Raw genomic sequence first — 15,565 nt, forward strand, 5'->3', positions numbered from 1 at the left:
CTTTGAAGCCATTTTACACTGTGTTTTCCAGCTAACTCTGCTCTGACATTTCCGCAGGATCATTGTGATATTTTTTTCTAGGGCTATGCTGTCCATCTCTTTCTTGCCTCCTAGCCACTCAGATAAGCCTGGTCTCTGAGTAAATTGTGGCTATGTATTTACAGAATTTCTAAGCCTTCACTTATTCTATTGCTTCCTCTTAGCTTTTTGCAAAGGGTATTTATATACCTCTTAAAGGAAAGCTTGTTGGGGAAAAATAGTTTAGTTACGTTTAACACAAAAAACATTTCTAACTTCCATCACATGCATACTTAATTTACTATATGCACACATATGAAGATATATCTACCTTAAATAATCATTAACACATATAAATGATCATCAATATAACATTCAAACAAAACATTGGAATTTAGTTCTTCTATTCCAATAATATACAGTGGGCCTTATATCAATAAAGATAATCGGTTTTTTAATTTCTCAATGGGTTCCTAGTTAAAGATTAATTTTCTAACCCCTTTCCAGCCCTCTTTCAAATATACTCTAGTCTAAACCCTTGATTTTAACCGTGTTATAGGGTTAAGTCTTTTCTGCTTCTGTCAAAAGCCAGGCTAAGGCAAATCCATCAGGAAAAACAAGACTGGAAAACAAATGTAAACTTTATACTCTTTGAACCTCTTTAAACTTTATCCCTGTATTAAATTTGATCACAAGAAAAGCTCAACATCTGGTCTTTACAAAGTTACAATTTCATGTTGAAACCTTTGGCTTTTTTTCTTTTTAATGAAACTGCTTTCAAAGGCAAGATCCATTATGTTGCTCAACACCCTCCACGGAAAGAGCCTTGCAACAAATACCTCTCAGAACTGAGGATCAGCAAAGAGATGTTTTGATGAATTAAAGTGTTCTTCTACTAGGCTGTGAGTGCTATCCAGCCCATTCTATTTTTGAGTTTACTTGGCTGTTCCAAGCCTACTATGAAGCCTTGACCTCTACTGCTATAGCTTTTCTCAGGCAATGTTAATGTTAGATAAAAAGCAAAGTAGTAGTTTAATCCTTCTATTCTTTGCTAGCAATTCTTAATCTTATCTTCTCTGTTCTATAAGTCTTATTTTTTTGTCACCTGCTTTAAATGAAGGATAAAGAATATTTACTTTTTTAAAGCCTCTCTTTTTTGGTCAGAATTCCTTAAACCTTGACCTTTTTCCAAATCTCTGTGGCACCATCTCCCTTTCCTGTCCCTATCATTCATCAGAGCTATTACTGACACTCTTCTTGAACACCATTAGAAAAACAGGCTAAATGAATACTTCATAGAAGTTCCTTCCTAATCTATGTATATAAAAATCTATGATTAAGATTTTATATATCAGAAATATTACTAGACTAAAAGGTAGTTTAGATATATGTAAGCTGACAGCTTGGTTCATTTAAAATAAATTATTCCATATGACGCTAACACACAATTTGGTAACTTTTTTGTTTCTTAAGGCTTACCTGAGCAATGTGGGTAAGAAAATGCCTAAATCATGTAATCAGTATTTCCAAGTTTATTATGATATGATTTATATGATATGATATGGATATATATGATATGATATGGATAACAATCAGTTGTCTGCTTAAATTTCCCTTATTTCAATTTCTTATTTAGAAAAGCAGTATTTGTTATTGGTGATTAAAACCAATTTGTTATTGGTGATTAATCTAAAGGATCACAAAATTTTTATACCAAGTCAAATTTAATGATTCAGAAAACTAGAAGTAAAAACAGATAAGTTTGGATGTCAAATTCCAATTCTTCATAATTAGAATGTGGTCAATGAATGCACTTTTTAACGTTTGAGAAATACATTAAACCACTGATTTTCTCAATAACTTTTCACTAAAGAAAGGAGTAATATGCCTAAGTGAGTATTTATTATTTTTTTTTACAACAGTTCTAATAGCACTCATTCTTCTGCAGTAAGCAGAAGCCCATCACTGTAAAGATGCTATAATATGCAATGCTCTATCTTCCTTTCCATCTAATTTGAAGGATGTCCGCCCATTCTGGCACTGAAGAAGAATGACAATTAGTTTGCTTTTTGGCTATGATTACTATCTTTCTGCTCTTAAAGACTCCTTTATGATTTGCTTACATTTGATCTTTAGAAGGAATTGCAAACTGAATCCAGACACTAGAAGGTGCTCTGAAGAGGGGGAACAAAAGATGGGGACCTGCGTAGGATTGAATAGGCCGACATAAGTAGGATTGAATCGAAGGGCAAGAGTGAAAGTGAGAGACCAAATTAAGAAAACTCTTACTCGAATTGTCATGTCTGAAGTTCTGGAACCAGTTCATCTTGTAACAGTGTTGGATAGGGATTCTGCATGGCTTGCTTTAAGAGAAGTGACATTATATGAACACAGACAAACTTCAGCATTTACTGGAAATAAAAAAAAATGCCAGACCAGATTTGACATCAATAAAAAACATTAAATTCTTTCCTCACCTTAATCACCCTATGCAGTTCTACTTGTGTATTAAACAAAGACTGTTAATACCTCACTTCCATAGTCACTGAATTCTTTCACTATGATGAATGTTTGCAATTAAACTCTATTTACACACTTGCTTAATAAGATTATGGAAAATTACTCAAATTTTTAATTGATTTTTTTTCAGACTTGAAAAAGTCTAAGCACATTAATTATGGCCAGTTGAATGCATTATGCCACATTAGAGGACAACACAGGTAAGCTATTCATGCATTTCTTTTTCTGTCATTCAAATGAATATGAGTATTTTTGTTTTAGGGATAAAGTATAGTAATAAACCATTGCTGGCTCTCAGAGGTACCTGATTTATCACACAGATAAAAACAGTTGAAAACCTGGGGGTTATTTCTTCAGATTGAAGGGGCAGAATATATATGTCACATCTTAAGGAAACAATTTAGTGTGAAACAAACATAACTCATTCCTAGCTGGCTCTTTGTAGTACTTAAAAAGCAGTCATAAGGGGAAAAAGCCTTAAGTGGTTGAAAACACACATACTGAATGAAATAAGTACCTGAGCAGTGAATAGGGAATGCCTCATTGAAATATACTGGAACCAGAGAACTAGGAAATATCACTGTTCAAAGCTCAGGATTCCTAAGATGTGTAATACTTGAAGATTTAATTTTAAGAGATCTATTTCCTTGACAACTCCTTTCTCCAAGTTGGGTTTTTGGAATTATAAAACTGGTTATTTCCTTCCATATGCATCAGTGTCCATCCACCCTCTTACCTTCCTTCACTCATCCTTCATGGGACTGTTGAGGAAGGCCTTAGGTTTACAGAGTTTTCTCTCTCTACTTTAAAACATCTCCAAGTCACATCCTTGTACTTTGCAATCCATTTCAAATTATTTTTATACTGTTGTCTATTTTCTCATTTCTTCTGTCTCAGAGAGAGAGAAGAAGGCATGCAACTTTGATATTGCTTGGATTTCTGTCAAGAGGGATCATTTTCCCCTGTGCATTGCTGCCTCCTCCTTGCACCCAGTGCCTTTCGACATGGAGTAAAGAATGAAGTCCACACACTCCCGAGACCTATTGCCTGATGTGAATCCTGTCTCAGCCACTTACCCTCTGTGTGACTTTAGACTGCTTACTACATTTCTCTGCCTTGGTTTTTTCATTGGTAAAATGGAGATAACAGTACTCACTTTAAAGGGTTACTAGGATGATTAAATGAGCCTAATATATGTAAATAGCGTCTGGCACATAGTAAGGGTTCCAGAAGTGTTAGTTATTTTTATTATTTTTGTTATGCAAAAAAGCTCATCCAATATTTTAAGTGTCTTGAAAAATTTTAACATCCAAGCTTTGAATCTATCTTATATGTTGGTCCCTTTTCTAATGCATGAGATGCTAATCAAGGCTTTGAATGTCCTTTTTGCTTTCATTTTCGTTTTGCTTTCTGGCCCAGACGCATTTCATTTTTCAAAATACTTCTAGTTTTTTTTTCTCTTTGGGGGGTCATAATAAGAGAGCTTGAATCATCTAGAGCTAGTTCTCTCAAAGTATCCCCTCTAAATAAATGTGATCAGCCTTACTCTTCCTGGATTGAATCATTCCTCTTGGGTGGTGTCGTCTTGTGAGACAATTATCTCATTCAGGTCCAATCTGGCTGTACTGCCTGACTCCCTCTAGTAAGTCTTATGTTTACTATGTCTTTTGTTAGAAACCCAAATCCTGAAATTGTTGGATGTGTTCTTTTGGAGCACTGGTACACACCAGGGGCCTGGGGGAACAGGTTTTAAGGTATGTGTATATAGGTTTTGCATCATTCTGTTAGAAATACAATATATAGTTACAAATACAAAATCAGATAGGAAGATAAATATTTATTTGGAATGAGGATAAAATTACAACAAATTAATAAAAGCTTGGAAGTTCAGGTCCCTTTTCTCACTTGACATTTCTTTAGACAATTTACCAGAAATACATTCACAGGAATTATTTAAAAACTTCAGAATTCAAGTGATGTCAACAAATTGAGAGGCAATTTAGGAAAAATGTATTTCTCCATATTATTAGTTCTTTATGTATTATAGATGAAAAGTGACCAATAAATTACACTTTTCCCCTATAATAAAAATAGAAAGGCTGAGAATTAAATGATTCAAGGTTTTAAATTTTTGTACATAGAACTCACAAAGGGCATTAGTTTTGATTCTAAAAAGTTTCTTCTGTTAGAATAAAGGCAGTAGGTTGGTATATTATCCTGGGATTTTTTATTGAAGATAAAATAAAAAATTAATAACAAAGGGGGGATGATATCACTTTGGATTTCTAAATTTTTGAGTGCAAATTTTTCATCCTAGTAGACTACAAGCTCCATGAAGGCAGATTTATTTTATTTATTTTAGTGCTTCCTACTCCTTGACATTTGGCATAGAGTTCAATGTTTTGCACTGGATTTTATTTTGATGTTCAGTAGAAATAAATATCTTCTGATGATTCAAAAAAATGTACAAGAGTTTTCTGTGTTGATTATAAATAAGTTAGGATAGATATGGATTTATAGTGTTTTTTTAACTATTGTCTGGAGAGCGGATTATTTTTAAATATTTTAATCGGGAAGTCTTAATTATATACATTTTTGTGATAAAATATGTTTTTGTATATGTATACAATGTGGAATAATTAAATCAATATGTTTAATATATCCATCACTTCTCTTACTTTTTTGTGATGAGACATTTGAAATTTGCTCTTCTGGCTATTATATAAACAATACATTTTTATTAACTTTAGTCACCCTGTTGTGCAATAGATCTTAAAATCTTTTTACTCCTGTTTAATTGAATCTTTATACCCTTTCGTCAACATCTCCACATTCCTCCCCAGCAACCTGGCTCCTAGTAACCACCATTCTACTCTCTGCTTCCACGACTTTCATGTTTTCAGATTCCACCTCTATGTGAGATCATATGGTATATGTCTTTCGGTGCCTGCTCTATCTTACTTAGCATAATGTCCTTGATGTTATTCATGTTGTTGCAGAAGAATTTTCTTCTTTTTAAGACCGAACAGTATTCCACTGTGCATAAGTACCACATTTTTTTAGCCGTTTATTCACTGATGGACATTTAGGTTGATTTCACATTTTGGCTATTGTGAACAGTGCTGCCATAAACATGGGAATGCAGATATCTCTTCCACATATTGATTTCAGTTTCTTTGGATACATACCCAGAAGTGAGATTCCTGCATCATATGTTAATTCTATTTTTAGTCTTTCTGAGGAAACTCCATACTGTTTTCCATAATGGCTGTACTATTTTACATTCCCACTAACAATGTACCTGTATGAGGGTTCCTTTCAGTTCAGGTCCTCATCAGCACTTACCTTTCTTTTTGATAACAGCCATTCTAACAGATATGAGGTAATATCTCACTGTGGCTTTAGTTTTCATTTCCCCATTGATTAGTGCTATCAAGCATTTGTTATTTTTTTTTTCATGAACACATTGGCTATACATATGTCTTCTTTGGTAAAGTAGGTGTTCAAAAACTCTGTCCATTTTTAATTGTTTTTTTTTCCCTTGCTACTGAGTTGAGTTCCTTGTATATTTGGATATTAATTCCTTATTTGATATATAGTTTGCAAATATTTTCTCTCATTCTGTAGGTTGTTTCTTCACTTCGTTGATTGTTTCCTTGGTTGTGCAGAAGCTTTTAGTTTGATGTAATCTCATTTGATTGTTTTTGCTTTTGTTGCCTGTGCTTTCAGGTCATACTCAAAAAATCGTTGCTTAGACCAATGTCATGGAACTTTTCCCCTATGTTTTATCCTAGCAGTTCTATGTTTAAGTTTTAGATCTTTTGTATTTAATCATTTTGAGTTTATTTTTGTATATGGTGAGAGATAAGGGTCTAATTTCATTCTTCTGCTGTGGATATCCAGTTTTTTAAAGCACCACTTATTAGACAGACTGTCCTTTTTCCATTGTGTGTTCTTGGCAATTTTGTCAAAAATCAATTTATTATAACTGTGGGTTTATTTCTGGGTTTTCTATCCTGTTCCATTGATCAGTATGTCTGTTTTTATACCAGCATCATACTCTTTTGATTATACTAGCTGTATAATATATTTTGAATTCAGGGAGTGAGATGCCTTTGGCTTTGCTCTTTTTGCTTGAGACTCTTTTGGCTGTTTGGGGTCTTTAGTAGTTCCATGCAAATTTCAGAATTGTTTTTTCTATTTTTGTGAAGATGACATTGGAATTGTGATACAGTTTGCCTTGAATCTGTAGATCACTTTTGGTAGTATGGACATTTTAACAATATTAATTCTTCTAATCAGTGAACATGGATATCCTTCTATTTACGTTTTCAATTTCTTTCATTAGTGTTTCAGTATACAGATCTTTAAACTTTTTTGGTTAAATTCACACCTAAGTAATCTATTTTTGTTGTTGCTATAGTAAATAGAATTATTTTTCTAGGATTTTTTTGGGTGGTTTGTATATAGAAGCATGACTAATTTTTGTACGTTGATTTTGTATATCCTGCAACTTTACTGAATTTATTTATTCTAATAGCTTTTGGTGGAGTCTCTAGGCTTTTATACTTATAAGATCCATATTGTCTGCAAATAGAGAGTTTCCCTGCTTCCTTCCCTATTGGGCTGTATTTTTTTTCTTTATTTTGCCTAATTGCTCTGGCTAAAACTTTCAATACTGTGTTGAAAAGAAGTAGTGAAAGTGGGCATACTTGTCTTGTTCTTGATCTTAGATGAAAAATTTTCAACTTTTCACCTTTGAGTATAGTGTTAACTGTAGGCTTATCATATATGGCCTTTATTGTGTTTAGGTTCATTCCTTCTGTTGAGGGTTTTTATTATTAACAAAGGTCAAATACTTATAAAAACTATAACCCATGAACAGTTGGATACTTATAAAAACTATCACCTGTGAACAGCTTTTAGCCCAAAGTCCATTTATAAATTAATTGTCAAGCATTCAGAATTTTCCAAAGACACAATATGATAGAATCATAGAATTGTAGAACAGGAAGTCAACTCAATCATCTAGTGGAAACTCTTTAACCTAAATATGATTGTTAATCATCGTTATTTAAAACAAAAGAACTAACTGACAAAGTCATAGAGTACCCAATTTTCCCTCATTTGCTCAAAATATATCTGAAATGTTATGCTTTTATAATAAAGAAGAAAATAACATTTTAAGATTTATAGTAAATCTTTAATGAAAAAATTAAAAATTGAGTAGTTTCTCATTGTTTCAGTACATTTAATTAGAAAAGTATTAAGAGTTCGATAGAGACAATTATGATGATTTTAAGGAGGTTCCTGGAAAACCCTTTACAGTATATTCGTTATTAATTTTTGTTTCAAAATATCTTACTTTCCTTTTTCTTCCCTTTTTTCACTCACAGGATGTTGGTGAGAACCTTTCTTTTTCTTAATGAGAATGTTTTGATAATTCTGTTGGCTTTCCGGACATAATTAGACATGTATTTTTGTCTTAAGAAATAAAGAAATGAAGAGATAGGGGACTTTTATTTTTATGGATATAAAGTTTGGAAGAGAAAGGAAAGGGAGGAGAGCTTTAAAAGGATGGTTTATGTACACATAAAAGAAATGATCTGAGCTTCGAGCCATTAAACATTGCTTTGTCTGGAATGAAGCCATTTTTTATTTTGAGGTTTCCTCTGATGACCACTAGCTGGCACTCTCAATCCAGAACAGCCCTGTCTTTTGGGATGGCAGAAAATGTGGGCAGAGATAGGTGGGATCTTACATTTATTCAATAGGTTGTTAACAAGTTGGAGGCTTATAATTCAAGGCATGCCTATTCATAATGTTTTACCTAACGTGTACACTCTTATAGCCAATTGTTTAGGCGGGATTTTCTACCTAGGGCAGTACCTTCACTAGGGAGCATTTGAAATGTATACACATTTATAGTTATTACCACGACTAGAAGGAAGTGGGGGATTTTAAACCTTTAGTGATGTGAAGTAAAATCTTGCACACTGTCCCAACCAAAATGTCAATAATCCTCCTTCTCCCATCTTCCCTTCCCCTTAAGGAACACTGGTCTAGATGATATTATCTTAAACTTACTCAAATTAGAGGAGTTGCTATAGATAATCGCTAGGATTTCATTAACCTTCAGATTTCCCTAGATCTTGATTTCAGAAACAAATCATTCTTTCCTGAAAACTTGCTTTCTTTCTCTATTTCTATCCATATCACTACAGTTAGCCTGTAAACTCCTGGAAAAAAAAGCAACCCTATTAGTTTGGTGCTCTTGAGAGTTTTTATTGCTTATTTCAGTGCATGATACATAGCTGACATTCAAAAAATACTTGTGGAATGCCTGCATTTACCCAGTAATTAAAGTATGAAAATCTTGCAGGCATGTTTTGTTACCTTTTCTCTTTATTTCTCCATGTGTTATAATTAGATTCTGCTGTTCCATTGTATCTCTATTGTTTATCACTCATTTTTTAATCTACTACTCCACTCTAGCTTTTATTACCTGAATCCAGGACTACCAAACTTATAAGTGGAATTACATTCTCAAATCTCTTCTCATCTTAATTCCACATTATGTACTACAAGTTAAATCTATTTTATTCATATATTTTAATAGATTAATTTTTTTTTTTTTTTTTTTTTTTTTTTTTTTTTTTTTGAGACGGAGTCTCGCTCTGTCGCCCAGGCCGGACTGCGGACTGCAGTGGCGCAATCTCGGCTCACTGCAAGCTCCGCTTCCCGGGTTCACGCCATTCTCCTGCCTCAGCCTCCCGAGTAGCTGGGACTACAGGCGCCCGCCACCGCGCCCGGCTAATTTTTTGTATTTTTAGTAGAGACGGGGTTTCACCTTGTTAGCCAGGATGGTCTCGATCTCCTGACCTCATGATCCACCCGCCTCGGCCTCCCGAAGTGCTGGGATTACAGGCGTGAGCCACCGCGCCCGGCCAATAGATTAATTTTTGAATAATTTTGGCTTTACAAAAAAATTGAGTAGAAAGTATAATTTCCATACATACCTTGACCCCTCCTTCCTAGTTTCCCATATGATCAATATCTTGCAGAAGCATGGTATATATGTTGCAATTTTTAGCCGATGTTGTTATTTACTATTAACTAAAGCCCATTTACATTAGGAATTACTGTTTGTGTTGAACATTGCAGGGCTTTTGACAAGTATATAATGACATGGAACAACCATTCCATGTAATGACGTGTGTTCAATGTTACAGAATAATTTTACTACTCTAAAAATCTTCTGCTCCATCTCTTCTCCCTCCCTTCTCCCTATCCTCAACCCCTGACAACCACTGATTTTTTTCCTCTGTTTCCATAATTTTGCCTTTTTTAGAATGTCATATAGTTGGAATAATACTGTATATATTATTTTCAGATTGCCTTCTGTCTTAGTCTGTTTTCTATTGCTATAAAAGAATATCAGAGATTAGATAATTTATAAAGAAAATAAATTTATTTCTCACACTTCTGGAGGCTGGGAAGTCAAAGGGCATGAGACTCGCATCTGGCAAGGGTGATCTAATGGTATAAGAGTGGAAGGCGAAAGCAAGCTTTTGAAAGATAGAGAAGATAGAGAAAGACACCAAGGACTAGACTTGCTTTATATCAATCTCATGATAATTAACCTTCTAATGTGATAATGGCATTAATTCATAAGTCATACCCTCATGACTCAATCACCTTTATTAAGCCCCACCTTACAACACTGTGGCACTGGGGATTAAGTTTCAAAAGCATGAATTTTGGGGGGCACATTTAAACCACAGCAGCTTCCTTCACTAAACAATATGTATTTAAATTTTTTTCTCTGTGTGTGTGTGCATGGTGTGTGTGTGTGTGTGTGTGTGTGTGTTTGGCTTGATAGCTCATTCCTTTTATTGCTGAATAATATTTATTGTATGGATATACCACAGTGTTTTTATCCATTCACTTATTGAAGCACATCTTGGTTGCTTTCAAGTTTTAGCAATTACAAATAAAGCTGCTATGAACATTTATGTGCAGGTTTTTGTGTGAACATGGGTTTTTGGGAAAATACCAAGGAGCATGCTTGCTGAATCATATGATAAGCTTATGCTTAGCTTTATAAGAAACTAGCAAACCGTTCCAACGTGGCTGTACCATTTTGTATTCCCACCCAAAATGAGTGAGTTTCTTTTGCTCCATAACCTCATCATCATTTGTGTTGTTGGTGTTTTGAATATTAGGCATTCTAGTAAATGTGTAGTGGTATCTTGTTGCTTTAGTTTGTAATTCCCTAATGACATATGATGTTTATCATCTTTTCATAAGCTAATTTCCACCTGTATGTCTTCTTGGATGAGGATCTGTTCAGATTCTGTCTGTTTTAAAATTGGTTTCTTTGTTTTCTTATTGTTGAGTTTTAAGAGTTCTTTGTAGATTTTGGATGCCAGCTATTTATCAAATATGTGTTTTGCAAATAGTTTCTACTATTTCTATGTCATTTCTGTGTCTTCTTTGGAGAAATGTTTATTCATGTCCTTTGCACATTTTTTAATTGTGTTGTTTGGTTTTCTATTGAGTTGTATGAGTTCTTTATACATTTTAAATATTAATCCCTTATCAGATATATTTTGGTTTTCAAATATTTTTCCCAAGTAGAGGCTACTATTGAGTTTATTTTTGTGTATGGCATAAGATAGGGGTACAATTTCATTCTTTTCCCATTTTAAAATTCATAAGGAAACATAAAGGACCCCAAATAGTAAAAACAATTCTGAGAAAGGAAAACAACGTTGGAGGCATTCTATTTCTAATTTTAATTATTTTTTAAAAATTATTTTTATGTATTGTTTTTAAATTGGTATATAATAACTGTACATGTTTGGGGGTACATGTGATACCCCCAATCTTTATAAAAGTACCAATGGCATTCTTCACAGAGTACCAATAGTACTTCGTTAAAGATTGCATTGAATCTGTATATTGGTTTGGATAATATGAACATTCTAACAATATTAATTTTTCTGATCCAGGGATGTCTTTGGGGCAGTGTATATCTTTCTATTTATTTGTGTCATCTGAAATTTCATCACTGTTTTATAATTTTCAGTGTACAGATCTTTCACCTTCTTGGTTTAATTTATTACTAAATTGGGTTTTTTTGATACTATCATAAAGGGGATTGCTTTCTTGATTCCTTTTTCATTTGTGTTGTTATTTGTGTATAAAAATCTACTAATTTTTTATTGACTTTGTATCCTGTAAATTTACTGAATTCCTTCATTAGTTAAAAAATCATAATTATTAAAATTAAAAACTCAAGACCACTCTTTGCAGCTTCCTGTCAGCTAGATTTGGCCATAAGACAGTGAGTGTTCTTGCCAACAGAATGGGAAAAGTAGTTGTAGAAATTCTGCAACATGAGTTAATCACAAAAGAAGATTGATACCTAAAGTATGTAAATAATTGCTACAAATAACCCAATAGAAAAATGGGAAATTGCTATGAATAGAAAATCATCAAAAAAAATTAAAATGGCCAATAAATTCATGGAATACAAATTAAACAAGACACAAATTTCATCCATAAAATATCAACTACTATAAAAGTTTGATAACTTCAAGTCTTGGTGAGAATGTGGGAAAAGATCTGCTCTCATATGCTGCTGGAAAAGTGGCAGATGTATAGGGAGAATCACCAGAACCAATTTCGTGGGCATGTGACTTATGCTCCAAAGGGCCTCATGCTCTGCTGTCATCATCTTGAAATGCTTAGTAATTTTTGAACAAGCTGCTCACATTTTCATTTTGCACTGGGCCCCGCAAATTATATAGCTGGTCTTGAAACTCACCAAATCAGCCATGATGCAATGAAAAAACAAAAAGTACCTCAATATTTGAAACATATGGGTGTTTAATACAGAAATCTAGTTACCAAAGAGTTAAAAGATCCAAAAGAGGAGGGTGAGTTAACACAAATAAGTAACTGCGCAAAGTGGCTACTACCCTAAGACGGGGGCCTTGAAAGAGCAGACATGGTATGGAGTATGAAAAGAGGCTCTGGGATTGTCTAGGAGGAACCACCCAGATAGGCTAGAACTGCTAAGAAGGGACCAGAAAGCAGATAGTGAGTCTACCCAAGAATGGCTAAAGATAGTGGGTCTACCCAAGAATGCAGATAGTGAGTCTACCCATGAATGGCTGAAGGCAGAGGAACACAGCCAATTCCAGAAATGTCACCAGTAACAGGATAAAGAGAAAGCAAAAATATAATGTTTTTTTCCTCTTCTGATTTCTAGTCTACTACCTGCGCCTTCTATTGGCAAAATCTAATAGGATAAGACAGTTGGCAAGGAAGCCTATGAAGTGCAGTTTGCTAATTCCCAGACTCAACATTCCAGAACGGATAGAGAGTGCATTATGTGTTTATAATTAACTATTACATGCCCAGTACCCTAAAAGTACCTCTTAGTATTTTACCCCAGAGAAGCACCCACACATAAATAGGAAGGCATTTACAAGGGTGTTCACTGCAGCATTTTTTTTGAGATAGAAAAAAATGAAACAACTTTAGTGTTCATCATTAGGGGAATAGTTAAATAAAGTATGGCATATTAATACCATGAAATATTATGAAGAAGTTAAAAAGAATGACATATCTATTTGTTCAAATATGGGCAGGTCTCTAAGTCATGTTGTGGATGGGAAAAAAGTAAGTTGCAGATAGATTTTATAATATGGTATATCTTTTGTATACAAAGACCACACACGTAAACATAAATCTGTAAATATCTACTGGTTCACTGAAATGTATATAAAGACACAAAAAAGATTAAAAGAATATTCACTGATTTAACATGGGTTTTCTCTGAGGGTGGTGAAAAAGTTCAATGTTAAGTGATGGTCAGAATAGTGGTCAAAATAAAATTCAAAGTAACTTACATTGTTTTCAATTTTACAAGAGATTTTTCTCTTGCTTGTATACTCTTTGAATTACTAATTTAAAAAGAAATGAATACTCAGATTCAAGACTTACTATAAAGCTACAGCAATCAAGACAGTGTGGTATTAGCAAAATAGACAAGTGGATCAATTAAACAGAATACAGAGCTCATGAATAGACCCACACAAATATGTCAACTGATCTTTAACAAAGGAGCAAGCCAATTGAATGGAGAAAGTTTGGATTTTCAATAAATGATACTGAAACAACTGGATATCCATATCCAATAAATATATGTGTCTAGGCAGAGACCTTACATTATTCACAAAATTAACTCAAAATGGATCATAGACCTAAATTTAAAATGCAAAAGTATAAAACCATATAAGATAACAAAGAAAAATTCTAGGTAACGTTGGGTTTGGTGATGACTTCTTAGGTAATACACCAAAAGCATGACTGATGAAAGATAAAATGATTAAGCTGAACTTCCTTAAAATTTAAATCTTCTGCTCTGTCAAAGACACTGTTAGAAGAATAAAAAGGCAATGCAATTTACCTGTGTAACAAACCTGCACGTGTACCCCTGAACCTGAAATAAAAGTAAAAAAATAGAAATAAAAAATGTGGTTTATATACCCAATGGAATACTATTCAGCCCTAAAGAAGAATGAGATCTTGCCATTTGCTACAACATAGATGAACCCAGAGGCCCTTATGTTAAGTTAAATAAGCCAGACACAGAAAGTAAAATACTACATCATCCCACTTATATGTGAAATTTAAAAAAACGCAAATACAGAGATAGAGAACAGTGGTTACTAGGGGCAAGGGTGAAGGGAGGAAATGGGGAGATGTAGGTCAGAGGATACAAAGTAGAATATATGTAGGATGAACAAGTGAAGAGATCTAATATACGATATGAGGATTATAGGTAATAACATTGCACTGTATTTGGAATTCATGCTAAATGAGTAGATTTTAGCTGTTCTTGCCACAAAAAAAAAATGGGTAACTATATGAAATGATGGATATGTTAATTTGCTTCCCTATAGAAATCTTTTTATTATCTGTATGTATTCTAGAACATCATGTTGTACACTTAAATATATACAGTAAAAATAAAATTTAAAGATACTAAAAATATATGTAATTTTCAATTTGAGAATTTTCACTTAGTTCTTCAAGTTTGACTGGCTATTCCTGATATTCTCTTGTTATTAATCATCATTGTGATTCCCTCCTTTATTTTCATAAAGATTTTATATATAACTTTTATATTTTATATCTAACATAGAGTAATTTATAGGCTTAGGGATATAAATCTGATGTTGTTGCTGCTGGCTTGCGCTTATGGCAGCTTGTCTTTCCAGGTGATCTTTCTGTGAAAGATTTGCTTATTAACATGTAATAGTAACATGTGGCCTAAATTATGAAAAATTCTTCAACAGAGAATTTATATCTATCTCTTCCTAGGGTCAGTGTGCACCATCAAGCTAAGCTACTCCATTCTCCTTCAAGAGTCCTTCCACAAAGATGGCTGGGCTCCCCTCCTTGTTCCTTGGTCATGGCTCAATTCCTCCCACCCATGCTCCTTCGTATCAGTGACTGCCTTCAGCACACCCTACCCCTCCTCTCTGCCCATTGGTCACATCTCAAGTATCCACTCACTTTCCCCCCTCTTTTCTTGCAATGTGGTGGGCCTTTGAGACCTAGGTCACCTTTCATAAGACCAATAATGCACCAGAAATTTGTTATGCAGGATATGTGCAACAACAGGGCTCTTTAGAGAATTAAGACTGCCATGCTGCAAAAACCTTGAAGATTTTTTTTCTTTTTTTGCATTTTGGCATGTGTGCGTATAAGGTATGTTCTAAGGTATAAGGTATGTTCTTCTAAGGTATAAGATACGTTCTACACTACAGGAATATGAGTGCCAGATATTTCCTTTTTAATAGTTCTGTTCTCATGATAAAAGTTTTTCCTGAGTCTGTGTCTAGGTAGTTTTTAATAAAGAAATCTTTCTCATAACTAGATTTTTTCAGTCTTAATCGCATTTAACATGACAGGCATTGCATTTGTATGTATTGCTACAGGAAGATTT

At 33.8% G+C, this 15,565-nt stretch overlaps 1 protein-coding gene across 4 annotated transcripts in view; it reads left to right on the forward strand.

Moving 5' to 3' along the window:
* CNBD1 (cyclic nucleotide binding domain containing 1) overlaps positions 1 to 15,565 on the forward strand; it is a 562,238-nt gene that overhangs the window by 18,459 nt on the left and 528,214 nt on the right. For 3 of the 4 annotated variants that reach the window (NM_173538.3, XM_024447082.2, XM_017013149.2), the window contains exon 2: positions 2,669 to 2,738. The exons of the other annotated variant lie outside the window; for it this stretch is intronic. In NM_173538.3, the coding sequence (NP_775809.1) occupies positions 2,669 to 2,738 (70 nt within the window). The remainder of the gene's footprint in view (positions 1 to 2,668; positions 2,739 to 15,565) is intronic. 4 annotated transcript variants of the gene reach the window in all.

Source organism: Homo sapiens, chromosome 8, assembly GCF_000001405.40.
Source record: "Homo sapiens chromosome 8, GRCh38.p14 Primary Assembly".
Classification (NCBI taxonomy): Eukaryota; Metazoa; Chordata; class Mammalia; order Primates; family Hominidae; genus Homo; species Homo sapiens.